Source organism: Homo sapiens, chromosome 2 (assembly GCF_000001405.40).
Source record: "Homo sapiens chromosome 2, GRCh38.p14 Primary Assembly".
Lineage (NCBI taxonomy): Eukaryota > Metazoa > Chordata > Mammalia > Primates > Hominidae > Homo > Homo sapiens.
This window is the reverse complement of record NC_000002.12, coordinates 73,780,560-73,808,130: the sequence shown is the minus strand read 5'-3', so window position 1 is coordinate 73,808,130 and position 27,571 is coordinate 73,780,560. Positions and strand designations below refer to the sequence as shown.

Below are 27,571 nucleotides of genomic sequence, written 5' to 3'. Positions count from 1 at the left end.
AGGCGCCTGCCACTTCAGCCGGCTAATTTTTTGTATTTTTAGTAGGGACAGGGTTTCACCCTGTTAGCCAGGATGGTTCGATCACCTGACCTTGTGATCTGCTCGCCTCAGCCTCCCAAAGTGCTGGGATTACAGGCGGGAGCCACCGCACCCGGCCCTACTGCCGATTTTAAGGGCCAAAGGAAGAGATTAAAGAACCCTCTTTTGTAACTTGAACAGCAAAGTTTGTTGATTGCCCCTTGTAGGAAATGATGTGGTCCAAGGCTCTTCTCTTTTAGTTTCTTCTCCTTGAATTCCACCTTCTTTGGGCTGGGCCAGGTTGGACTTGGATCTCTCTTCTGCTCTCCCATTTTTAACCCCTTGATTTTAGGCATTGTTTCTGGGCCAAGCCTTGATCTTGCATTTTTACATTCGTGGATATTCCTTCTTGTCAACTTCCAGAGCAGGAGTCTTCTTTTCAGTGTCCTGATGTTTGGAAAACGGACTCTGCTCATGAGAAGCAAACAGCAGAGAGGTAGAAGACAAGGCTGACTGCAGACCTTCCCTCTTCTAGCCTTTGGTCACAATTCTTTTGCCCACAGTTTGCTACCTCTGGCTCCTTGGGCCACACAGACACCCTGCCATCCTGCTCTTTTATATGTGAGAGGCATTCAGGATACTTTCTTTCTTTCTTCTCACATAAGAGGATCCAGTGTGGCAGTTACTTATAGCCTCGTCTCCCTTGCAAACAGCCACTATAGAATCTTGGGCCTTTAGGATTTTCTGTCAGCCATGCTTGGGTGCAAGGGCCAGGCAAAATGAAGAGTTGAAGCATTTAGTGGAGAATAGGAAACAGGCAAGGTGAGGGTACAGGAAAAAAGAGATTTATGTGGATTTTTTGGTTTCTGTGACAAACAATTCAACATACCTATTTTGTATTAACAAAATAGACAATTCTTTTTTTTTTTTTTTGAGACAGAGTCTCTCTCTGTCACCCAGGCTGGAGGGCAGTGGCCGATCTCTGCTAGCTTCAAGCTCTGCCTCCCAGGTTCACACCATTCTCGTGCCTTAGTCTCCCGAGTAGCTGGGATTACAGGTACTCGCCACCATGCCCGGCTAATTTTTTGTATTTTTTTGTAGAGACGGGGTTTCACCGTGTCAGCGAGGATGGTCTCCTGACCTTGGGATCTGCCCACCTCAGCCTCCCAAAGTGCTGGGATTACAGGCGTGTGCCACTGCGCCTGGCCCAATATTTTTTATGTAGCTAGATAGTCCAGAACTTCCATGACTTCTGTACACTGAAGAAAATAATCATAATGTATTTTTTCCATTTTGTTTTATACCGTATTACCTCATTTATGTCATTCATTAGTATGTCTGTAGAATGTAAATTGCTTTTGTTTTATTAACTTTATTTTATTTATAAGAGTGAGACAGAATTTCACTCTTTTGCCCAGGCTGGAGTGCAGTGGCACGGTCTTGGCTCACTGCAACCTCTGCCTCCTTGGTCCAAGTGATTCTCCTGCCTCAGCCTCCCAAGTGGCTGGGATAACGGGTGCCGCCACTATCCCTGGCTAATTTTTGTATTTTTATTAAGGACAAGGTTTCACCATGTTGTCCAGGCTGGTCTCAAACTCCTGACCTCGGTTGATCTTCCTGCCTCAGCCTCGCAAAGTGCTGGGATTACAGGTGTGAGCCACCGTGCGTGGCCTGTAGATTGCTTTTAAATCCTCTGGTTTTTCTACATGTTTTTTCCTTGTCATATTTTTAAGGAATACAAGATTGTAAGACATACTGCATGTTTTTCTCATGATGGTTGTTTATTTTGAAACATCATGAACTATGGTGACCTGATGGGTTTTGTGGAGGAAATTAAAGAGGGGTCTGTGAAAAAGGCACTGTTGTGAGTTGTGCTGTGTGCCCAAGCATAAGGAACAGATGTCTGCAGTGAGCCCAAGTTGACTTGGATTGCCTTGGTTTTCATTTTCCTAGTTAGTGCTTTTCTCACTAACTTCTCTTGTAACTGTGATAAAATGAGTTAGGGCTGAGTTGCTAATGATTTACGTGTGGACTAAGCTGGTTTGGGGGAGGAAATCTATGGATATAATCATTTTCCTTGGTGGTAAGCTTTTAGAGATACCTGCATTGATCATTTGTTTGTTTATTTGTTTGTTTGTTTTTAGATGGAGTCTCGCTCTGTCGCCTAGGCTGGAGGGCAGTGGCACGATCTCGGCTCACTGCATCATGCGCCTCCCTGGTTCAAGCAATTCTGATGCCTGAGCCTCCCAAGTACGTAGGATTAAAGGTGCACACCACCACACCCAGCTAATTTTTGTATTCTTAGTAGAGATGGGGTTTGACCACGTTGGCCAGGCTGGTCTCCAACTCCTGACCTCCGGTGATCTTCCCACCTCAGCCTCGCAAAGTGCTGTGATTACAGGCGTGAGCCACCGCACCCCGCCTGGAAGCCTCATTTCTAAAACATGTTGGTTTCTTTTTTTTTTCTTTTGAAGCGGAGTTTCGCTCTTATTGCCCAGACTGGAGTGCAATGGCGCGATCTTGGCTCACCACAACCTTTGCCTCTCGGGTTCAAGCGATTCTCCTGCCTCAGCCTCCCAAATAGCTGGGATTACACGCATGTGCCACCATGCCCGGCTAATTTGGTATTTTTAGTAGAGATGGGGTTTCTCCTTGTTGGTCAGGCTTGTCTCACACTCCTGACCTCAGGTGATCAGCCCACCTCGGCCTCCCAAAGTGCTTGGTTTACAGGCGTAAGCCACCGTGCCCGGCCTCTAAAACATATTTCCAAAATGTTTATATTACAAACTGTCAAGTGTCATCTATGTTCAAAAAGGCAACAGAAAAAAGTGACTGAATATGACTTCTGATAAGCTGCTTTTCCTAGGGATATGTAATGTAGCCTGTTTCCTTTCTCGTCCATTGATCTAAGCATTTGCTAAAATCAACTTCATTTTGCCCTACTCTGAATACATTTCACTCTGTTGTCCTTCTGCTTTTTTTTTTCAAATTTAAAATATATTTTTTTCTTTTAAAATCATTTTGTCATTCTCCAGGGCATATCCCAAGGGGAAAAGTAGGGGACCATGTCTTTCTGCTTAAATTAAAATACCAAATTACTTACCCTAGAATACCTGCCTCCTTAGAACCCAGTACTCTCCATTTTCTCTTTCCACCTAGTTTAGATAGGAATGTCCAAAACGTGAATACTACTTTTCTTTTTTGTTTGTTTGTTTGTTTGTTTGTTTGTGACAGGGTCTCACTTTGTCACCCAGGCTGAAGTCCAGTGGTATGAACATGGCTCACTGCAGTCTCAGCCTCCTGGGCTCAAGCAGTCCTCTGATCCTCCCACCTCAGCCTCCTGCGTAGCTGGCATACACCCAACCCTGGCTGAGTCTTAAAAAGTTTTTGTAGAGATGGGGTCTTGCCATGTTGCCCAGACTGGCCGGGAACTCCTAGGCCCAAAGCGATCCTCCCACCTCAGGCTCCCAAAGCATTGATATTGCAGGCATGAGCTACCACGCCCAACTGAATATTAAAAACATCACTACACATCAGTAAACATCACTAAATTTAAAATAGGAAAGTTGAAATATTAGTGAGGGAGATGGCCTCCCAAAGTGCTGAGATTACAGGTATGAGCCACCGTGCCTGGCTGAATATTATTTAAAACATCACTAAGCATCACTAAATTTAAAATACGAAAGTTGAAATATTAGTAGAGGGAGACTATTACACATGAAACATCTCAGAATATATTGCTAGTTTTCTAGACCACTTTGGTTTTTTCTCTGTTTCTGTTGAAATGAACACTCTCAGAAAGTCTCTGATTTCATTTTCTATACATATACCCTTTAAGACTCAGTATTAGAAAAGAAAAGGGCCAGGGGGAATAACCAGTCTATTATCCTAGTGTAATAGATGAGGAAACAGATTTTATGAGAGAATAAACGTTATCTAAAGTCACACAGCTAGTAAATGTCAAAGCCAAAACTGAAATGAGGTCTCTGGATTTCTACTTCAATAATTTCCCTGTTATTCCAAGCTGTTTGGGAATATAGGGGGGAAGAAACCTAAATTTAGTGGCAAAGAAATCTCATGAAAACCTTTTTAAGAAGTTTCTTTCTTTACCTGACATGGTCAGAGAAGAAGAAACATCAACTGCAGATAGAAGGGAAGAAGAGACGATACTAGCGGATGTCTGGGTGGCTGAAGCCAACCAGTGCATGTGTCCAGTATGAAGGCCACTGGTCACTGGTTACTGGTCACTGGCCCCTTGTGATGATACAAATTTACAGGCCACGCCCAGGAAACCCCAAGATGCTACCAGGTGGCGGTCGGTTTGGTGGGAGAATGATGTCACAAAGCAGGCAGTTTAAAGGTCTGCGATAGCCAATAGGGAGGTCAGATTCCCCACAAGACAGGATTGGCTGGCAGAGGTGGTAGGAAAGGTGTAACAGCACTAAGTGGCTGAGCTCTGGGGAGGTGAAATCTGCAAGACAGACATGATAGTCCCACTTTCCCCCAGGCTCTCATGTTAGGGAGATCATCTCAATGTTTCTCATAAATGTTCACTAATATAATTAACATTTATATTTTATATGTTACATTTCATAATATGTAATAGTATGCATTTATAATTATACAGTACATACACAATATCCTTGGGGAGAAAGGAAGGGGATGTCTAAGTTGAGCAATTACAGTTGTTCTAAAACTATTTCAGTGAATCTGATTAATGAATTTACTGCTGCTTTTTAATTTTATTGTATTTTTTGTGAGATGGAGTCTGGCTCTGTCACCCAGGCTGGAGTGCAGTGGCGTGATCTTGGCTCACTGCAAGCACCACCTCCCAGGTTCACGCTATTCTACTGCCTCAGCCTCCTGAGTAGCTGGGACTACAGGCGCCTGCCACTTCAGCCGGCTAATTTTTTGTATTTTTAGTAGGGACAGGGTTTCACCCTGTTAGCCAGGATGGTCTCGATCACCTGACCTCGTGATCCGCCCGCATCTGCCTCCCAGAGTGCTGGGATTACAGGCGGGAGCCACCGCGCCTGGCCCCACTGCCGCTTTTAATGGCCAGAGGAAGGGATTAAAGAACCCCCTTTCGTAACTTGAACAGCAAAGTTCGTTGACTGCCCCTTGTAGGAAATGATGTGGTCCAAGGCTCTTCTCTTTTAGTTTCTTCTCCTTGAATTCCACCTTCTTTGGGCTGGGCCAGGTTGGACTTGGATCTCTCTTCTGCTCTCCCATTTTTAACCCCTTGATTTTAGGCATTGTTTCTGGGCCAAGCCTTGATCTTGCATTTTTACATTCGTGGATATTCCTTCTTGTCAACTTCCAGAGCAGGAGTCTTCTTTTCAGTGTCCTGATGTTTGGAAAACGGACTCTGCTCATGAGAAGCAAACAGCAGAGAGGTAGAAGACAAGGCTGACTGCAGACCTTCCCTCTTCTAGCCTTTGGTCACAATTCTTTTGCCCACAGTTTGCTACCTCTGGCTCCTTGGGCCACACAGACACCCTGCCATCCTGCTCTTTTATATGTGAGAGGCATTCAGGATACTTTCTTTCTTTCTTCTCACATAAGAGGATCCAGTGTGGCAGTTACTTATAGCCTCGTCTCCCTTGCAAACAGCCACTATAGAATCTTGGGCCTTTAGGATTTTCTGTCAGCCATGCTTGGGTGCAAGGGCCAGGCAAAATGAAGAGTTGAAGCATTTAGTGGAGAATAGGAAACAGGCAAGGTGAGGGTACAGGAAAAAAGAGATTTATGTGGATTTTTTGGTTTCTGTGACAAACAATTCAACATACCTATTTTGTATTAACAAAATAGACAATTCTTTTTTTTTTTTTTTGAGACAGAGTCTCTCTCTGTCACCCAGGCTGGAGGGCAGTGGCCGATCTCTGCTAGCTTCAAGCTCTGCCTCCCAGGTTCACACCATTCTCGTGCCTCAGCCTCCCGAGTAGCTGGGATTACAGGTACTCGCCACCATGCCCGGCTAATTTTTTGTATTTTTTTGTAGAGACGGGGTTTCACCGTGTCAGCCAGGATGGTCTCCTGACCTTGGGATCTGCCCACCTCAGCCTCCCAAAGTGCTGGGATTACAGGCGTGTGCCACTGCGCCTGGCCCAATATTTTTTATGTAGCTAGATAGTCCAGAACTTCCATGACTTCTGTACACTGAAGAAAATAATCATAATGTATTTTTTCCATTTTGTTTTATACCGTATTACCTCATTTATGTCATTCATTAGTATGTCTGTAGAATGTAAATTGCTTTTGTTTTATTAACTTTATTTTATTTATAAGAGTGAGACAGAATTTCACTCTTTTGCCCAGGCTGGAGTGCAGTGGCACGGTCTTGGCTCACTGCAACCTCTGCCTCCTTGGTCCAAGTGATTCTCCTGCCTCAGCCTCCCAAGTGGCTGGGATAACGGGTGCCGCCACTATCCCTGGCTAATTTTTGTATTTTTATTAAGGACAAGGTTTCACCATGTTGTCCAGGCTGGTCTCAAACTCCTGACCTCGGTTGATCTTCCTGCCTCAGCCTCGCAAAGTGCTGGGATTACAGGTGTGAGCCACCGTGCGTGGCCTGTAGATTGCTTTTAAATCCTCTGGTTTTTCTACATGTTTTTTCCTTGTCATATTTTTAAGGAATACAAGATTGTAAGACGTACTGCATGTTTTTCTCATGATGGTTGTTTATTTTGAAACATCATGAACTATGGTGACCTGATGGGTTTTGTGGAGGAAATTAAAGAGGGGTCTGTGAAAAAGGCACTGTTGTGAGTTGTGCTGTGTGCCCAAGCATAAGGAACAGATGTCTGCAGTGAGCCCAAGTTGACTTGGATTGCCTTGGTTTTCATTTTCCTAGTTAGTGCTTTTCTCACTAACTTCTCTTGTAACTGTGATAAAATGAGTTAGGGCTGAGTTGCTAATGATTTACGTGTGGACTAAGCTGGTTTGGGGGAGGAAATCTATGGATATAATCATTTTCCTTGGTGGTAAGCTTTTAGAGATACCTGCATTGATCATTTGTTTGTTTATTTGTTTGTTTGTTTTTAGATGGAGTCTCGCTCTGTCGCCTAGGCTGGAGGGCAGTGGCACGATCTCGGCTCACTGCATCATGCGCCTCCCTGGTTCAAGCAATTCTGATGCCTGAGCCTCCCAAGTACGTAGGATTAAAGGTGCACACCACCACACCCAGCTAATTTTTGTATTCTTAGTAGAGATGGGGTTTGACCACGTTGGCCAGGCTGGTCTCCAACTCCTGACCTCCGGTGATCTTCCCACCTCAGCCTCGCAAAGTGCTGTGATTACAGGCGTGAGCCACCGCACCCCGCCTGGAAGCCTCATTTCTAAAACATGTTGGTTTCTTTTTTTTTTCTTTTGAAGCGGAGTTTCGCTCTTATTGCCCAGACTGGAGTGCAATGGCGCGATCTTGGCTCACCACAACCTTTGCCTCTCGGGTTCAAGCGATTCTCCTGCCTCAGCCTCCCAAATAGCTGGGATTACACGCATGTGCCACCATGCCCGGCTAATTTGGTATTTTTAGTAGAGATGGGGTTTCTCCTTGTTGGTCAGGCTTGTCTCACACTCCTGACCTCAGGTGATCAGCCCACCTCGGCCTCCCAAAGTGCTTGGTTTACAGGCGTAAGCCACCGTGCCCGGCCTCTAAAACATATTTCCAAAATGTTTATATTACAAACTGTCAAGTGTCATCTATGTTCAAAAAGGCAACAGAAAAAAGTGACTGAATATGACTTCTGATAAGCTGCTTTTCCTAGGGATATGTAATGTAGCCTGTTTCCTTTCTCGTCCATTGATCTAAGCATTTGCTAAAATCAACTTCATTTTGCCCTACTCTGAATACATTTCACTCTGTTGTCCTTCTGCTTTTTTTTTTCAAATTTAAAATATATTTTTTTCTTTTAAAATCATTTTGTCATTCTCCAGGGCATATCCCAAGGGGAAAAGTAGGGGACCATGTCTTTCTGCTTAAATTAAAATACCAAATTACTTACCCTAGAATACCTGCCTCCTTAGAACCCAGTACTCTCCATTTTCTCTTTCCACCTAGTTTAGATAGGAATGTCCAAAACGTGAATACTACTTTTCTTTTTTGTTTGTTTGTTTGTTTGTTTGTTTGTGACAGGGTCTCACTTTGTCACCCAGGCTGAAGTCCAGTGGTATGAACATGGCTCACTGCAGTCTCAGCCTCCTGGGCTCAAGCAGTCCTCTGATCCTCCCACCTCAGCCTCCTGCGTAGCTGGCATACACCCAACCCTGGCTGAGTCTTAAAAAGTTTTTGTAGAGATGGGGTCTTGCCATGTTGCCCAGACTGGCCGGGAACTCCTAGGCCCAAAGCGATCCTCCCACCTCAGGCTCCCAAAGCATTGATATTGCAGGCATGAGCTACCACGCCCAACTGAATATTAAAAACATCACTACACATCAGTAAACATCACTAAATTTAAAATAGGAAAGTTGAAATATTAGTGAGGGAGATGGCCTCCCAAAGTGCTGAGATTACAGGTATGAGCCACCGTGCCTGGCTGAATATTATTTAAAACATCACTAAGCATCACTAAATTTAAAATACGAAAGTTGAAATATTAGTAGAGGGAGACTATTACACATGAAACATCTCAGAATATATTGCTAGTTTTCTAGACCACTTTGGTTTTTTCTCTGTTTCTGTTGAAATGAACACTCTCAGAAAGTCTCTGATTTCATTTTCTATACATATACCCTTTAAGACTCAGTATTAGAAAAGAAAAGGGCCAGGGGGAATAACCAGTCTATTATCCTAGTGTAATAGATGAGGAAACAGATTTTATGAGAGAATAAACGTTATCTAAAGTCACACAGCTAGTAAATGTCAAAGCCAAAACTGAAATGAGGTCTCTGGATTTCTACTTCAATAATTTCCCTGTTATTCCAAGCTGTTTGGGAATATAGGGGGGAAGAAACCTAAATTTAGTGGCAAAGAAATCTCATGAAAACCTTTTTAAGAAGTTTCTTTCTTTACCTGACATGGTCAGAGAAGAAGAAACATCAACTGCAGATAGAAGGGAAGAAGAGACGATACTAGCGGATGTCTGGGTGGCTGAAGCCAACCAGTGCATGTGTCCAGTATGAAGGCCACTGGTCACTGGTTACTGGTCACTGGCCCCTTGTGATGATACAAATTTACAGGCCACGCCCAGGAAACCCCAAGATGCTACCAGGTGGCGGTCGGTTTGGTGGGAGAATGATGTCACAAAGCAGGCAGTTTAAAGGTCTGCGATAGCCAATAGGGAGGTCAGATTCCCCACAAGACAGGATTGGCTGGCAGAGGTGGTAGGAAAGGTGTAACAGCACTAAGTGGCTGAGCTCTGGGGAGGTGAAATCTGCAAGACAGACATGATAGTCCCACTTTCCCCCAGGCTCTCATGTTAGGGAGATCATCTCAATGTTTCTCATAAATGTTCACTAATATAATTAACATTTATATTTTATATGTTACATTTCATAATATGTAATAGTATGCATTTATAATTATACAGTACATACACAATATCCTTGGGGAGAAAGGAAGGGGATGTCTAAGTTGAGCAATTACAGTTGTTCTAAAACTATTTCAGTGAATCTGATTAATGAATTTACTGCTGCTTTTTAATTTTATTGTATTTTTTGTGAGATGGAGTCTGGCTCTGTCACCCAGGCTGGAGTGCAGTGGCGTGATCTTGGCTCACTGCAAGCACCACCTCCCAGGTTCACGCTATTCTACTGCCTCAGCCTCCTGAGTAGCTGGGACTACAGGCGCCTGCCACTTCAGCCGGCTAATTTTTTGTATTTTTAGTAGGGACAGGGTTTCACCCTGTTAGCCAGGATGGTCTCGATCACCTGACCTCGTGATCCGCCCGCATCTGCCTCCCAGAGTGCTGGGATTACAGGCGGGAGCCACCGCGCCTGGCCCCACTGCCGCTTTTAATGGCCAGAGGAAGGGATTAAAGAACCCCCTTTTGTAACTTGAACAGCAAAGTTCCTTGACTGCCCCTTGTAGGAAATGATGTGGTCCAAGGCTCTTCTCTTTTAGTTTCTTCTCCTTGAATTCCACCTTCTTTGGGCTGGGCCAGGTTGGACTTGGATCTCTCTTCTGCTCTCCCTTTTTTAACCCCTTGATTTTAGGCATTGTTTCTGGGCCAAGCCTTGATCTTGCATTTTTACATTCGTGAATATTCCTTCTTGTCAACTTCCAGAGCAGGAGTCTTCTTTTCAGTGTCCCGATGTGTGGAAAACGGACTCTCCTCATGAGAAGCAAACAGCAGAGAGGTAGAAGACAAGGCTGACTGCAGACCTTCTCTCTTCTAGCCTTTGGTCACAATTCTTTTGCCCACAGTTTGCTACCTCTGGCTCCTTGGGCCACACAGACACCCTGCCATCCTGCTCTTTTATATGTGAGAGGCATTCTGGATACTTTCTTTCTTCTCACATAAGAGGATCCAGTGTGGCAGTTACTTATAGCCTCGTCTCCCTTGCAAACAGCCACTATAGAATCTTGGGCCTTTAGGATTTTCTGTCAGCCATGCTTGGGTGCAAGGGCCAGGCAAAATGAAGAGTTAAAGCATTTAGTGGAGAATAGGAAACAGGCAAGGTGAGGGTACAGGAAAAAAGAGATTTATGTGGATTTTTTGGTTTCTGTGACAAACAATTCAACATACCTATTTTGTATTAACAAAATAGACAATTCTTTTTTTTTTTTTTTTTGAGACAGAGTCTCTCTCTGTCACCCAGGCTGGAGGGCAGTGGCCGATCTCTGCTAGCTTCAAGCTCTGCCTCCCAGGTTCACACCATTCTCGTGCCTCAGCCTCCCGAGTAGCTGGGATTACAGGTACTCGCCACCATGCCCGGCTAATTTTTTGTATTTTTTTGTAGAGACGGGGTTTCACCGTGTCAGCCAGGATGGTCTCCTGACCTTGGGATCTGCCCACCTCAGCCTCCCAAAGTGCTGGGATTACAGGCGTGTGCCACTGCGCCTGGCCCAATATTTTTTATGTAGCTAGATAGTCCAGAACTTCCATGACTTCTGTACACTGAAGAAAATAATCATAATGTATTTTTTCCATTTTGTTTTATACCGTATTACCTCATTTATGTCATTCATTAGTATGTCTGTAGAATGTAAATTGCTTTTGTTTTATTAACTTTATTTTATTTATAAGAGTGAGACAGAATTTCACTCTTTTGCCCAGGCTGGAGTGCAGTGGCACGGTCTTGGCTCACTGCAACCTCTGCCTCCTTGGTCCAAGTGATTCTCCTGCCTCAGCCTCCCAAGTGGCTGGGATAACGGGTGCCGCCACTATCCCTGGCTAATTTTTGTATTTTTATTAAGGACAAGGTTTCACCATGTTGTCCAGGCTGGTCTCAAACTCCTGACCTCGGTTGATCTTCCTGCCTCAGCCTCGCAAAGTGCTGGGATTACAGGTGTGAGCCACCGTGCGTGGCCTGTAGATTGCTTTTAAATCCTCTGGTTTTTCTACATGTTTTTTCCTTGTCATATTTTTAAGGAATACAAGATTGTAAGACGTACTGCATGTTTTTCTCATGATGGTTGTTTATTTTGAAACATCATGAACTATGGTGACCTGATGGGTTTTGTGGAGGAAATTAAAGAGGGGTCTGTGAAAAAGGCACTGTTGTGAGTTGTGCTGTGTGCCCAAGCATAAGGAACAGATGTCTGCAGTGAGCCCAAGTTGACTTGGATTGCCTTGGTTTTCATTTTCCTAGTTAGTGCTTTTCTCACTAACTTCTCTTGTAACTGTGATAAAATGAGTTAGGGCTGAGTTGCTAATGATTTACGTGTGGACTAAGCTGGTTTGGGGGAGGAAATCTATGGATATAATCATTTTCCTTGGTGGTAAGCTTTTAGAGATACCTGCATTGATCATTTGTTTGTTTATTTGTTTGTTTGTTTTTAGATGGAGTCTCGCTCTGTCGCCTAGGCTGGAGGGCAGTGGCACGATCTCGGCTCACTGCATCATGCGCCTCCCTGGTTCAAGCAATTCTGATGCCTGAGCCTCCCAAGTACGTAGGATTAAAGGTGCACACCACCACACCCAGCTAATTTTTGTATTCTTAGTAGAGATGGGGTTTGACCACGTTGGCCAGGCTGGTCTCCAACTCCTGACCTCCGGTGATCTTCCCACCTCAGCCTCGCAAAGTGCTGTGATTACAGGCGTGAGCCACCGCACCCCGCCTGGAAGCCTCATTTCTAAAACATGTTGGTTTCTTTTTTTTTTCTTTTGAAGCGGAGTTTCGCTCTTATTGCCCAGACTGGAGTGCAATGGCGCGATCTTGGCTCACCACAACCTTTGCCTCTCGGGTTCAAGCGATTCTCCTGCCTCAGCCTCCCAAATAGCTGGGATTACACGCATGTGCCACCATGCCCGGCTAATTTGGTATTTTTAGTAGAGATGGGGTTTCTCCTTGTTGGTCAGGCTTGTCTCACACTCCTGACCTCAGGTGATCAGCCCACCTCGGCCTCCCAAAGTGCTTGGTTTACAGGCGTAAGCCACCGTGCCCGGCCTCTAAAACATATTTCCAAAATGTTTATATTACAAACTGTCAAGTGTCATCTATGTTCAAAAAGGCAACAGAAAAAAGTGACTGAATATGACTTCTGATAAGCTGCTTTTCCTAGGGATATGTAATGTAGCCTGTTTCCTTTCTCGTCCATTGATCTAAGCATTTGCTAAAATCAACTTCATTTTGCCCTACTCTGAATACATTTCACTCTGTTGTCCTTCTGCTTTTTTTTTTCAAATTTAAAATATATTTTTTTCTTTTAAAATCATTTTGTCATTCTCCAGGGCATATCCCAAGGGGAAAAGTAGGGGACCATGTCTTTCTGCTTAAATTAAAATACCAAATTACTTACCCTAGAATACCTGCCTCCTTAGAACCCAGTACTCTCCATTTTCTCTTTCCACCTAGTTTAGATAGGAATGTCCAAAACGTGAATACTACTTTTCTTTTTTGTTTGTTTGTTTGTTTGTTTGTTTGTGACAGGGTCTCACTTTGTCACCCAGGCTGAAGTCCAGTGGTATGAACATGGCTCACTGCAGTCTCAGCCTCCTGGGCTCAAGCAGTCCTCTGATCCTCCCACCTCAGCCTCCTGCGTAGCTGGCATACACCCAACCCTGGCTGAGTCTTAAAAAGTTTTTGTAGAGATGGGGTCTTGCCATGTTGCCCAGACTGGCCGGGAACTCCTAGGCCCAAAGCGATCCTCCCACCTCAGGCTCCCAAAGCATTGATATTGCAGGCATGAGCTACCACGCCCAACTGAATATTAAAAACATCACTACACATCAGTAAACATCACTAAATTTAAAATAGGAAAGTTGAAATATTAGTGAGGGAGATGGCCTCCCAAAGTGCTGAGATTACAGGTATGAGCCACCGTGCCTGGCTGAATATTATTTAAAACATCACTAAGCATCACTAAATTTAAAATACGAAAGTTGAAATATTAGTAGAGGGAGACTATTACACATGAAACATCTCAGAATATATTGCTAGTTTTCTAGACCACTTTGGTTTTTTCTCTGTTTCTGTTGAAATGAACACTCTCAGAAAGTCTCTGATTTCATTTTCTATACATATACCCTTTAAGACTCAGTATTAGAAAAGAAAAGGGCCAGGGGGAATAACCAGTCTATTATCCTAGTGTAATAGATGAGGAAACAGATTTTATGAGAGAATAAACGTTATCTAAAGTCACACAGCTAGTAAATGTCAAAGCCAAAACTGAAATGAGGTCTCTGGATTTCTACTTCAATAATTTCCCTGTTATTCCAAGCTGTTTGGGAATATAGGGGGGAAGAAACCTAAATTTAGTGGCAAAGAAATCTCATGAAAACCTTTTTAAGAAGTTTCTTTCTTTACCTGACATGGTCAGAGAAGAAGAAACATCAACTGCAGATAGAAGGGAAGAAGAGACGATACTAGCGGATGTCTGGGTGGCTGAAGCCAACCAGTGCATGTGTCCAGTATGAAGGCCACTGGTCACTGGTTACTGGTCACTGGCCCCTTGTGATGATACAAATTTACAGGCCACGCCCAGGAAACCCCAAGATGCTACCAGGTGGCGGTCGGTTTGGTGGGAGAATGATGTCACAAAGCAGGCAGTTTAAAGGTCTGCGATAGCCAATAGGGAGGTCAGATTCCCCACAAGACAGGATTGGCTGGCAGAGGTGGTAGGAAAGGTGTAACAGCACTAAGTGGCTGAGCTCTGGGGAGGTGAAATCTGCAAGACAGACATGATAGTCCCACTTTCCCCCAGGCTCTCATGTTAGGGAGATCATCTCAATGTTTCTCATAAATGTTCACTAATATAATTAACATTTATATTTTATATGTTACATTTCATAATATGTAATAGTATGCATTTATAATTATACAGTACATACACAATATCCTTGGGGAGAAAGGAAGGGGATGTCTAAGTTGAGCAATTACAGTTGTTCTAAAACTATTTCAGTGAATCTGATTAATGAATTTACTGCTGCTTTTTAATTTTATTGTATTTTTTGTGAGATGGAGTCTGGCTCTGTCACCCAGGCTGGAGTGCAGTGGCGTGATCTTGGCTCACTGCAAGCACCACCTCCCAGGTTCACGCTATTCTACTGCCTCAGCCTCCTGAGTAGCTGGGACTACAGGCGCCTGCCACTTCAGCCGGCTAATTTTTTGTATTTTTAGTAGGGACAGGGTTTCACCCTGTTAGCCAGGATGGTCTCGATCACCTGACCTCGTGATCCGCCCGCATCTGCCTCCCAGAGTGCTGGGATTACAGGCGGGAGCCACCGCGCCTGGCCCCACTGCCGCTTTTAATGGCCAGAGGAAGGGATTAAAGAACCCCCTTTCGTAACTTGAACAGCAAAGTTCGTTGACTGCCCCTTGTAGGAAATGATGTGGTCCAAGGCTCTTCTCTTTTAGTTTCTTCTCCTTGAATTCCACCTTCTTTGGGCTGGGCCAGGTTGGACTTGGATCTCTCTTCTGCTCTCCCTTTTTTAACCCCTTGATTTTAGGCATTGTTTCTGGGCCAAGCCTTGATCTTGCATTTTTACATTCGTGAATATTCCTTCTTGTCAACTTCCAGAGCAGGAGTCTTCTTTTCAGTGTCCCGATGTGTGGAAAACGGACTCTCCTCATGAGAAGCAAACAGCAGAGAGGTAGAAGACAAGGCTGACTGCAGACCTTCTCTCTTCTAGCCTTTGGTCACAATTCTTTTGCCCACAGTTTGCTACCTCTGGCTCCTTGGGCCACACAGACACCCTGCCATCCTGCTCTTTTATATGTGAGAGGCATTCTGGATACTTTCTTTCTTCTCACATAAGAGGATCCAGTGTGGCAGTTACTTATAGCCTCGTCTCCCTTGCAAACAGCCACTATAGAATCTTGGGCCTTTAGGATTTTCTGTCAGCCATGCTTGGGTGCAAGGGCCAGGCAAAATGAAGAGTTAAAGCATTTAGTGGAGAATAGGAAACAGGCAAGGTGAGGGTACAGGAAAAAAGAGATTTATGTGGATTTTTTGGTTTCTGTGACAAACAATTCAACATACCTATTTTGTATTAACAAAATAGACAATTCTTTTTTTTTTTTTTTTGAGACAGAGTCTCTCTCTGTCACCCAGGCTGGAGGGCAGTGGCCGATCTCTGCTAGCTTCAAGCTCTGCCTCCCAGGTTCACACCATTCTCGTGCCTCAGCCTCCCGAGTAGCTGGGATTACAGGTACTCGCCACCATGCCCGGCTAATTTTTTGTATTTTTTTGTAGAGACGGGGTTTCACCGTGTCAGCCAGGATGGTCTCCTGACCTTGGGATCTGCCCACCTCAGCCTCCCAAAGTGCTGGGATTACAGGCGTGTGCCACTGCGCCTGGCCCAATATTTTTTATGTAGCTAGATAGTCCAGAACTTCCATGACTTCTGTACACTGAAGAAAATAATCATAATGTATTTTTTCCATTTTGTTTTATACCGTATTACCTCATTTATGTCATTCATTAGTATGTCTGTAGAATGTAAATTGCTTTTGTTTTATTAACTTTATTTTATTTATAAGAGTGAGACAGAATTTCACTCTTTTGCCCAGGCTGGAGTGCAGTGGCACGGTCTTGGCTCACTGCAACCTCTGCCTCCTTGGTCCAAGTGATTCTCCTGCCTCAGCCTCCCAAGTGGCTGGGATAACGGGTGCCGCCACTATCCCTGGCTAATTTTTGTATTTTTATTAAGGACAAGGTTTCACCATGTTGTCCAGGCTGGTCTCAAACTCCTGACCTCGGTTGATCTTCCTGCCTCAGCCTCGCAAAGTGCTGGGATTACAGGTGTGAGCCACCGTGCGTGGCCTGTAGATTGCTTTTAAATCCTCTGGTTTTTCTACATGTTTTTTCCTTGTCATATTTTTAAGGAATACAAGATTGTAAGACGTACTGCATGTTTTTCTCATGATGGTTGTTTATTTTGAAACATCATGAACTATGGTGACCTGATGGGTTTTGTGGAGGAAATTAAAGAGGGGTCTGTGAAAAAGGCACTGTTGTGAGTTGTGCTGTGTGCCCAAGCATAAGGAACAGATGTCTGCAGTGAGCCCAAGTTGACTTGGATTGCCTTGGTTTTCATTTTCCTAGTTAGTGCTTTTCTCACTAACTTCTCTTGTAACTGTGATAAAATGAGTTAGGGCTGAGTTGCTAATGATTTACGTGTGGACTAAGCTGGTTTGGGGGAGGAAATCTATGGATATAATCATTTTCCTTGGTGGTAAGCTTTTAGAGATACCTGCATTGATCATTTGTTTGTTTATTTGTTTGTTTGTTTTTAGATGGAGTCTCGCTCTGTCGCCTAGGCTGGAGGGCAGTGGCACGATCTCGGCTCACTGCATCATGCGCCTCCCTGGTTCAAGCAATTCTGATGCCTGAGCCTCCCAAGTACGTAGGATTAAAGGTGCACACCACCACACCCAGCTAATTTTTGTATTCTTAGTAGAGATGGGGTTTGACCACGTTGGCCAGGCTGGTCTCCAACTCCTGACCTCCGGTGATCTTCCCACCTCAGCCTCGCAAAGTGCTGTGATTACAGGCGTGAGCCACCGCACCCCGCCTGGAAGCCTCATTTCTAAAACATGTTGGTTTCTTTTTTTTTTCTTTTGAAGCGGAGTTTCGCTCTTATTGCCCAGACTGGAGTGCAATGGCGCGATCTTGGCTCACCACAACCTTTGCCTCTCGGGTTCAAGCGATTCTCCTGCCTCAGCCTCCCAAATAGCTGGGATTACACGCATGTGCCACCATGCCCGGCTAATTTGGTATTTTTAGTAGAGATGGGGTTTCTCCTTGTTGGTCAGGCTTGTCTCACACTCCTGACCTCAGGTGATCAGCCCACCTCGGCCTCCCAAAGTGCTTGGTTTACAGGCGTAAGCCACCGTGCCCGGCCTCTAAAACATATTTCCAAAATGTTTATATTACAAACTGTCAAGTGTCATCTATGTTCAAAAAGGCAACAGAAAAAAGTGACTGAATATGACTTCTGATAAGCTGCTTTTCCTAGGGATATGTAATGTAGCCTGTTTCCTTTCTCGTCCATTGATCTAAGCATTTGCTAAAATCAACTTCATTTTGCCCTACTCTGAATACATTTCACTCTGTTGTCCTTCTGCTTTTTTTTTTCAAATTTAAAATATATTTTTTTCTTTTAAAATCATTTTGTCATTCTCCAGGGCATATCCCAAGGGGAAAAGTAGGGGACCATGTCTTTCTGCTTAAATTAAAATACCAAATTACTTACCCTAGAATACCTGCCTCCTTAGAACCCAGTACTCTCCATTTTCTCTTTCCACCTAGTTTAGATAGGAATGTCCAAAACGTGAATACTACTTTTCTTTTTTGTTTGTTTGTTTGTTTGTTTGTTTGTGACAGGGTCTCACTTTGTCACCCAGGCTGAAGTCCAGTGGTATGAACATGGCTCACTGCAGTCTCAGCCTCCTGGGCTCAAGCAGTCCTCTGATCCTCCCACCTCAGCCTCCTGCGTAGCTGGCATACACCCAACCCTGGCTGAGTCTTAAAAAGTTTTTGTAGAGATGGGGTCTTGCCATGTTGCCCAGACTGGCCGGGAACTCCTAGGCCCAAAGCGATCCTCCCACCTCAGGCTCCCAAAGCATTGATATTGCAGGCATGAGCTACCACGCCCAACTGAATATTAAAAACATCACTACACATCAGTAAACATCACTAAATTTAAAATAGGAAAGTTGAAATATTAGTGAGGGAGATGGCCTCCCAAAGTGCTGAGATTACAGGTATGAGCCACCGTGCCTGGCTGAATATTATTTAAAACATCACTAAGCATCACTAAATTTAAAATACGAAAGTTGAAATATTAGTAGAGGGAGACTATTACACATGAAACATCTCAGAATATATTGCTAGTTTTCTAGACCACTTTGGTTTTTTCTCTGTTTCTGTTGAAATGAACACTCTCAGAAAGTCTCTGATTTCATTTTCTATACATATACCCTTTAAGACTCAGTATTAGAAAAGAAAAGGGCCAGGGGGAATAACCAGTCTATTATCCTAGTGTAATAGATGAGGAAACAGATTTTATGAGAGAATAAACGTTATCTAAAGTCACACAGCTAGTAAATGTCAAAGCCAAAACTGAAATGAGGTCTCTGGATTTCTACTTCAATAATTTCCCTGTTATTCCAAGCTGTTTGGGAATATAGGGGGGAAGAAACCTAAATTTAGTGGCAAAGAAATCTCATGAAAACCTTTTTAAGAAGTTTCTTTCTTTACCTGACATGGTCAGAGAAGAAGAAACATCAACTGCAGATAGAAGGGAAGAAGAGACGATACTAGCGGATGTCTGGGTGGCTGAAGCCAACCAGTGCATGTGTCCAGTATGAAGGCCACTGGTCACTGGTTACTGGTCACTGGCCCCTTGTGATGATACAAATTTACAGGCCACGCCCAGGAAACCCCAAGATGCTACCAGGTGGCGGTCGGTTTGGTGGGAGAATGATGTCACAAAGCAGGCAGTTTAAAGGTCTGCGATAGCCAATAGGGAGGTCAGATTCCCCACAAGACAGGATTGGCTGGCAGAGGTGGTAGGAAAGGTGTAACAGCACTAAGTGGCTGAGCTCTGGGGAGGTGAAATCTGCAAGACAGACATGATAGTCCCACTTTCCCCCAGGCTCTCATGTTAGGGAGATCATCTCAATGTTTCTCATAAATGTTCACTAATATAATTAACATTTATATTTTATATGTTACATTTCATAATATGTAATAGTATGCATTTATAATTATACAGTACATACACAATATCCTTGGGGAGAAAGGAAGGGGATGTCTAAGTTGAGCAATTACAGTTGTTCTAAAACTATTTCAGTGAATCTGATTAATGAATTTACTGCTGCTTTTTAATTTTATTGTATTTTTTGTGAGATGGAGTCTGGCTCTGTCACCCAGGCTGGAGTGCAGTGGCGTGATCTTGGCTCACTGCAAGCACCACCTCCCAGGTTCACGCTATTCTACTGCCTCAGCCTCCTGAGTAGCTGGGACTACAGGCGCCTGCCACTTCAGCCGGCTAATTTTTTGTATTTTTAGTAGGGACAGGGTTTCACCCTGTTAGCCAGGATGGTCTCGATCACCTGACCTCGTGATCCGCCCGCATCTGCCTCCCAGAGTGCTGGGATTACAGGCGGGAGCCACCGCGCCTGGCCCCACTGCCGCTTTTAATGGCCAGAGGAAGGGATTAAAGAACCCCCTTTCGTAACTTGAACAGCAAAGTTCGTTGACTGCCCCTTGTAGGAAATGATGTGGTCCAAGGCTCTTCTCTTTTAGTTTCTTCTCCTTGAATTCCACCTTCTTTGGGCTGGGCCAGGTTGGACTTGGATCTCTCTTCTGCTCTCCCTTTTTTAACCCCTTGATTTTAGGCATTGTTTCTGGGCCAAGCCTTGATCTTGCATTTTTACATTCGTGAATATTCCTTCTTGTCAACTTCCAGAGCAGGAGTCTTCTTTTCAGTGTCCCGATGTGTGGAAAACGGACTCTCCTCATGAGAAGCAAACAGCAGAGAGGTAGAAGACAAGGCTGACTGCAGACCTTCTCTCTTCTAGCCTTTGGTCACAATTCTTTTGCCCACAGTTTGCTACCTCTGGCTCCTTGGGCCACACAGACACCCTGCCATCCTGCTCTTTTATATGTGAGAGGCATTCTGGATACTTTCTTTCTTCTCACATAAGAGGATCCAGTGTGGCAGTTACTTATAGCCTCGTCTCCCTTGCAAACAGCCACTATAGAATCTTGGGCCTTTAGGATTTTCTGTCAGCCATGCTTGGGTGCAAGGGCCAGGCAAAATGAAGAGTTGAAGCATTTAGTGGAGAATAGGAAACAGGCAAGGTGAGGGTACAGGAAAAAAGAGATTTATGTGGATTTTTTGGTTTCTGTGACAAACAATTCAACATACCTATTTTGTATTAACAAAATAGACAATTCTTTTTTTTTTTTTTTTTGAGACAGAGTCTCTCTCTGTCACCCAGGCTGGAGGGCAGTGGCCGATCTCTGCTAGCTTCAAGCTCTGCCTCCCAGGTTCACACCATTCTCGTGCCTCAGCCTCCCGAGTAGCTGGGATTACAGGTACTCGCCACCATGCCCGGCTAATTTTTTGTATTTTTTTGTAGAGACGGGGTTTCACCGTGTCAGCCAGGATGGTCTCCTGACCTTGGGATCTGCCCACCTCAGCCTCCCAAAGTGCTGGGATTACAGGCGTGTGCCACTGCGCCTGGCCCAATATTTTTTATGTAGCTAGATAGTCCAGAACTTCCATGACTTCTGTACACTGAAGAAAATAATCATAATGTATTTTTTCCATTTTGTTTTATACCGTATTACCTCATTTATGTCATTCATTAGTATGTCTGTAGAATGTAAATTGCTTTTGTTTTATTAACTTTATTTTATTTATAAGAGTGAGACAGAATTTCACTCTTTTGCCCAGGCTGGAGTGCAGTGGCACGGTCTTGGCTCACTGCAACCTCTGCCTCCTTGGTCCAAGTGATTCTCCTGCCTCAGCCTCCCAAGTGGCTGGGATAACGGGTGCCGCCACTATCCCTGGCTAATTTTTGTATTTTTATTAAGGACAAGGTTTCACCATGTTGTCCAGGCTGGTCTCAAACTCCTGACCTCGGTTGATCTTCCTGCCTCAGCCTCGCAAAGTGCTGGGATTACAGGTGTGAGCCACCGTGCGTGGCCTGTAGATTGCTTTTAAATCCTCTGGTTTTTCTACATGTTTTTTCCTTGTCATATTTTTAAGGAATACAAGATTGTAAGACATACTGCATGTTTTTCTCATGATGGTTGTTTATTTTGAAACATCATGAACTATGGTGACCTGATGGGTTTTGTGGAGGAAATTAAAGAGGGGTCTGTGAAAAAGGCACTGTTGTGAGTTGTGCTGTGTGCCCAAGCATAAGGAACAGATGTCTGCAGTGAGCCCAAGTTGACTTGGATTGCCTTGGTTTTCATTTTCCTAGTTAGTGCTTTTCTCACTAACTTCTCTTGTAACTGTGATAAAATGAGTTAGGGCTGAGTTGCTAATGATTTACGTGTGGACTAAGCTGGTTTGGGGGAGGAAATCTATGGATATAATCATTTTCCTTGGTGGTAAGCTTTTAGAGATACCTGCATTGATCATTTGTTTGTTTATTTGTTTGTTTGTTTTTAGATGGAGTCTCGCTCTGTCGCCTAGGCTGGAGGGCAGTGGCACGATCTCGGCTCACTGCATCATGCGCCTCCCTGGTTCAAGCAATTCTGATGCCTGAGCCTCCCAAGTAGGAGGATTACAGGTGCACGCCACCACACCCAGCTAATTCTTATATTTTCAGGAGAAATGGGGTTTCACCATGTTGCCTAGGCTGGTCTCCAACTTCTGACCTCAGGCAATCCGCCTGCGTCAGCCTTGCAAAGTGCTGTGATTACAGGTGTGAGCCACCGCACCCTGCCTGGAAGCCTCATTTCTAAAACATATTTCTCTCTTTCTTTTTTTTTCTTTTTGAAGCGGAGTTTCCCTCTTATTGCCCAGGCTGGAGTGCAATGGCGCGATCTTGGCTCACCACAACCTTTGCCTCTCGGGTTCAAGTGATTGTCCTGCCTCAGCCTCCCAAGTAGCTGGGATTACACGCATGTGCCACCATGCCCGGCTAATTTGGTATTTTTAGTAGAGGTGGGGTTTCTCCTTGTTGGTCAGGCTTGTCTCACACTCCTGACCTCAGGTGATCAGCCCACCTCGGCCTCCCAAAGTGCTGGGATTACAGGTGTAAGCCACCGAGCCTGGCCTCTAAAACATATTTCCAAAATGTTTATATTACAAACTGTCAAGTGTCATCTATGTTCAAAAAGGCAACAGAAAAAAGTGACTGAATATGACTTCTGATAAGCTGCTTTTCCTAGGGATATGTAATGTAGCCTGTTTCCTTCCTCGTCCATTGATCTAAGCATTTGCTAAAATCAACTTCATTTTGCCCTACTCTGAATACATTTCACTCTGTTGTCCTTCTGCTTTTTTTTTTCAAATTTAAAATATATTTTTTTCTTTTAAAATCATTTTGTCATTCTCCAGGGCATATCCCAAGGGGAAAAGTAGGGGACCATGTCTTTCTGCTTAAATTAAAATACCAAATTACTTACCCTAGAATACCTGCCTCCTTAGAACCCAGTACTCTCCATTTTCTCTTTCCACCTAGTTTAGATAGGAATGTCCAAAACGTGAATACTACTTTTCTTTTTTGTTTGTTTGTTTGTTTGTTTGTTTGTGACAGGGTCTCACTTTGTCACCCAGGCTGAAGTCCAGTGGTATGAACATGGCTCACTGCAGTCTCAGCCTCCTGGGCTCAAGCAGTCCTCTGATCCTCCCACCTCAGCCTCCTGCGTAGCTGGCATACACCCAACCCTGGCTGAGTCTTAAAAAGTTTTTGTAGAGATGGGGTCTTGCCATGTTGCCCAGACTGGCCGGGAACTCCTAGGCCCAAAGCGATCCTCCCACCTCAGGCTCCCAAAGCATTGACATTGCAGGCATGAGCTACCACGCCCAACTGAATATTAAAAACATCACTACACATCAGTAAACATCACTAAATTTAAAATAGGAAAGTTGAAATATTAGTGAGGGAGATGGCCTCCCAAAGTGCTGAGATTACAGGTGTGAGCCACCGTGCCTGGCTGAATATTATTTAAAACATCACTAAACATCACTAAATTTAAAATACGAAAGTTGAAATATTAGTGGAGGGAGGCTATTACACATGAAACATCTCAGAATATATTGCTAGTTTTCTAGACCACTTTGGTTTTTTCTCTGTTTCTGTTGAAATGAACACTCTCAGAAAGTCTCTGATTTCATTTTCTATACGTATACCCTTTAAGACTCAGTATTAGAAAAGAAAAGGGCCAGGGGGAATAACCAGTCTATTATCCTAGTGTAATAGATGAGGAAACAGATTTTGTGAGAGAATAAAAGTTATCTAAAGTCACACAGCTAGTAAATGTCAAAGCCAAAACTGAAATGAGGTCTCTGGATTTCTACTTCAATACTTTCCCTGTTATTCCAAGCTGTTTGGGAATATAGGGGGAAAGAAATCTAAATTTAGTGGCAAAGAAATCTCATGAAAACCTTTTTAAAAAGTTTCTCTCTTTACCTGACATGGTCAGAGAAGAAGAAACATCAACTGCAGATAGAAGGGAAGAAGAGACGATACTAGCGGATGTCTGGGTGGCTGAAGCCAACCAGTGCATGTGTCCAGTATGAAGGCCACTGGTCACTGGTTACTGGTCACTGGCCCCTTGTGATGATACAAATTTACAGGCCACGCCCAGGAAACCCCAAGATGCTACCAGGTGGTGGTCGGTTTGGTGGGAGAATGATGTCACAAAGCAGGCAGTTTAAAGGTCTGCGATAGCCAATAGGGAGGTCAGATTCCCCACAAGACAGGATTGGCTGGCAGAGGTGGTAGGAAAGGTGTAACAGCACTAAGTGGCTGAGCTCTGGGGAGGTGAAATCTGCAAGACAGACATGATAGTCCCACTTTCCCCCAGGCTCTCATGTTAGGGAGATCATCTCAATGTTTCTCATAAATGTTCACTAATATAATTAACTAACATTTATATTTTATATGTTACATTTCATAATATGTAATAGTATGCATTTATAATTATATAGTACATACACAATATCCTTGGGGAGAAAGGAAAGGGATGTTTAAGTTGAGCAATTACAGTTGTTCTAAAACTATTTCAGTGAATCTGATTAATGAATTTACTGCTGCTTTTTAATTTTATTGTATTTTTTGTGAGATGGAGTCTGGCTCTGTCGCCCAGGCTGGAGTGCAGTGGCGTGACCTCGGCTCACTGCAAGCTCCACCTCCCAGGTTCATGCCATTCTCCTGACTCAGCCTCCTGAGTCCTGCCACTTCGCCTGGCTAATTTTTTGTATTTTTGGTAGAGACGGGGTTTCACCCTGTTAGCCAGGATGATCTCGATCACCTGACCTCGTGATCGGTCTTCCCCTGCCTCCCAAAGTGCTGGGATTACAGGCGGGAGCCACGGCGCCCGGCCCTGCTGCCGCTTTTAAGGGCCAAAGAAGGGATTAAAGAGCCTTCTTTTGTAACTTGGTTGAACGGCAAAGTTCGTTGACTGCCCATTGTAGGAAAGGATGTGGTCCAAGGCTCTTCTCTTTTAGTTTCTTCTCCTTGAATCCTACCTTCTTTGGGCTGGGCCAGGTTGGACTTGGATCTCTCTTCTGCTCTCCTTTTTTTAACCCCTTGATTTTAGGCATCGTTTCTGGGCCAAGCCTTGATCTTGCATTTTTACATTTGTGGATATTCCTTCTTGTCAACTTCCAGAGCAGGAGTCTTCTTTTCAGTGTCCGGATGTTTGGAATACGGACTCTGCTTATGAGAAGCAAACACCAGAGAGGTAGAAGACAAGGCTGACTGCAGACCTTCCCTCTTCTAGCCTTTGGTCACATTTCTTTTGCCCATGGTTTGCTACCTCTGGCTCCTTGGGCCACACAGACACCCTGCCATCCTGCTCTTTTATACGTGAGAAGCATTCAGGATACTTTCTTTCTTCTCACATAAGGGGATCCAGTATGGCAGTTACTTTTAGCCTCCTCTCTCTTGCAAACAGCCACTATAGAATCTTGGGCCTTTGGGATATCCTGTCAGCCATGCTTGGGTGCAAGGGCTAGGCAAAATGAAGAATTTAAGCATTTAGTGGAGAATAGGAAACAGGCAAGTTGAGGGTACAGGGAAAAAGAGATTTGTGTGGATTTTTTGGTTTATGTGACAAACAATTCGACACACTTATTTTGTATTAATAGAACATAGAATTTAATATTTTTTATGTAGCTAGTCCAGAACTTCCATTACTTCTGTACACTGAAGAAAATAATCATAATATTCTTTTTCCATTATGTTTTATGTCATATTACCTCATTTATGTTATTCATTAGTATGTCTGGTTACTTTCTAGGAACCCTATTCCGCCTAGGTCTGGATTTTCTTGTGTCAACTATAACTGAGTTTGTTCTCACCCCAATGTTGTGTCTTTTAGCAAATTGAAAGTGTAAGCCCAATACAGCTTTTCTAGCTTCTGAAAGATTTATGTCACGTTTTGTATCTTGTCATGTCTATAGACATTTGTAACATTTGTAGTTTTGGGCTACTATACACCTATTGGAATTTTTCATGCATTTCAGAAAAACATTGTATTATTTATTTATTTATTTCGTGATACAGAGTCTCGCTCTGTTGCCCAGGCTGGAGTGCAATGGCACAATCTTGGCTCACTGCAACCTCCGCCTCCCATGTTCAAGCCATTCTCCTGCCTCAGCCTCCCAAGTACCCTGGACTACAGGTATGAGCCACCACGCCCAGCTAATTTCTGTATTTTTAGTAGAGATAGGATTTTACCATGTTGGCCAGGTTGATCTCTAACTCCTGACCTCAAGTGACCTGCCCGCCTCGGCCTCCCAAAGTGCTGGAATTACAGGCATGAGCCACCATGCCCGGCCACAATATTTTACAATTTAATGTCAAATTTGAATGTGGGCTGGGCGCAGGGGCTCACGCCTGTCATCCCAGCACTTTGGGAGGCCGAAGAGAGCAGATGACTTGAGGTCAGGAGTTCAAGACCAGCCTGGCCAACTTGGTGAAACCTTGTCTTTACTAAAAATACAAAAATTAGCCGGGCATGGTGGCACACGCCTGTAGTCGCAGCTACTCAAGAGGCTGAGGCAGGAGAATTGCTTGAACCCAGGAGGCAGAGGTTGCAGTGAGCTGAGATCGCGCCACTGCACTCTAGCCTGGGTGACAGAGAGAGACTCCATCTCAACAACAACAACAACAAATAATTAAATGTTCCTAATTGTAGGTTTGTTATGTTCTGCTATCCTGTCTTTTTCTTTTTCCAATGAACAATTTATGAATATTGACACATTTTTAATGATGTGGAAATTTTCAGAATTGTAAATGTTTATGTATTTAAAACTGGTTGGAAAAGTACTGTCTCAAAAATGTTAATAAAGCTAGCAGTCTAGCTTTATTAATATTCATTTATTCAATAGCTCTGACCTTTCTTATCCTTGGTTTACCCAGCTCTGAAATGGTTGCAAAGATTACTAAAAATATATGTAAGTTACTTTCATAAATTAGAAACTAAGAAGTAAAAATTACTTTCAAAAATCTGCCATTGGCCAGGTGCGGTGGCTCAAGCCTGTAATCCCAGCACTTTCGGAGGTCGAGGAGTGCTGATCATGAGGTCAAGACATCGAGACCATCCTGGCCAACATGGAGAAACCCTGTCTCTACTAAAATACAAAAAATTGGCTGGGAGTCGTGGCATGCACCTGTAGTCCCAGCTACTCAGGAGGTTGAGGCAGGGAGAATTGCTTGAACCCGGGAGGCGGAGGTTGCAGTGAGCTGAGATGGCACCACTGCACTCCAGCCTGGTGGCAGAGTGAGACTGGGTCTCAAAAAAAAAAAAAAAAAGTCTGCAATCATAATTACTTACAGTTTAATCTGGAATTTAGTACTCTATTCTATTTTCAAAGCTGCTATAGGGTATGCTGTCCTTTGTAGTTCCACTTTTAGCAGAATTGAACGTTTTTCTAACGGGTACAGATCTTTATGCTTGAGACTGTGTGGAAACCTTGGACTTGAGCTCCACTCTCAGTTATTTTTTGTATTTGCTAAAACTTAAATACATTCTGTCCACCTCTAGCATGATACCTGGTATGTGATAGGAACCCAATAAAAGTTTGGCTTTGATGGGAGTGTATGTTTCTACATTATTTTTGGAGGGTAATTAGGTAGTATCTTTCCAAATTTTAAGTTTGTATGTGTTTCATTCCAGACATTCTACTTCTAGGAATTTAGATATAGTTGTATATATGTATAAGGATGTTCACATTGCAGCATTGTCTGTAACAAGATTTGAAAAGAACCTGAAAACAACTAAAGGTCCATTAATATTGAACTGGCTAAA

The 27,571-nt window shown here is 43.7% G+C and overlaps 1 protein-coding gene across 1 annotated transcript in view; it reads right to left on the bottom strand.

The window, feature by feature from the left end:
* The window catches only part of C2orf78 (chromosome 2 open reading frame 78), a 32,966-nt gene extending 9,018 nt beyond the window's left edge, over window positions 1-23,948 (bottom strand). The window contains exon 1 of the mRNA NM_001080474.3: window positions 23,725-23,948. Within this exon, the coding sequence (NP_001073943.1) occupies window positions 23,725-23,821 (97 nt within the window). The 5' untranslated portion in view covers window positions 23,822-23,948. The remainder of the gene's footprint in view (window positions 1-23,724) is intronic.
* Between the last annotated feature and the right edge of the window lie 3,623 nt (window positions 23,949-27,571).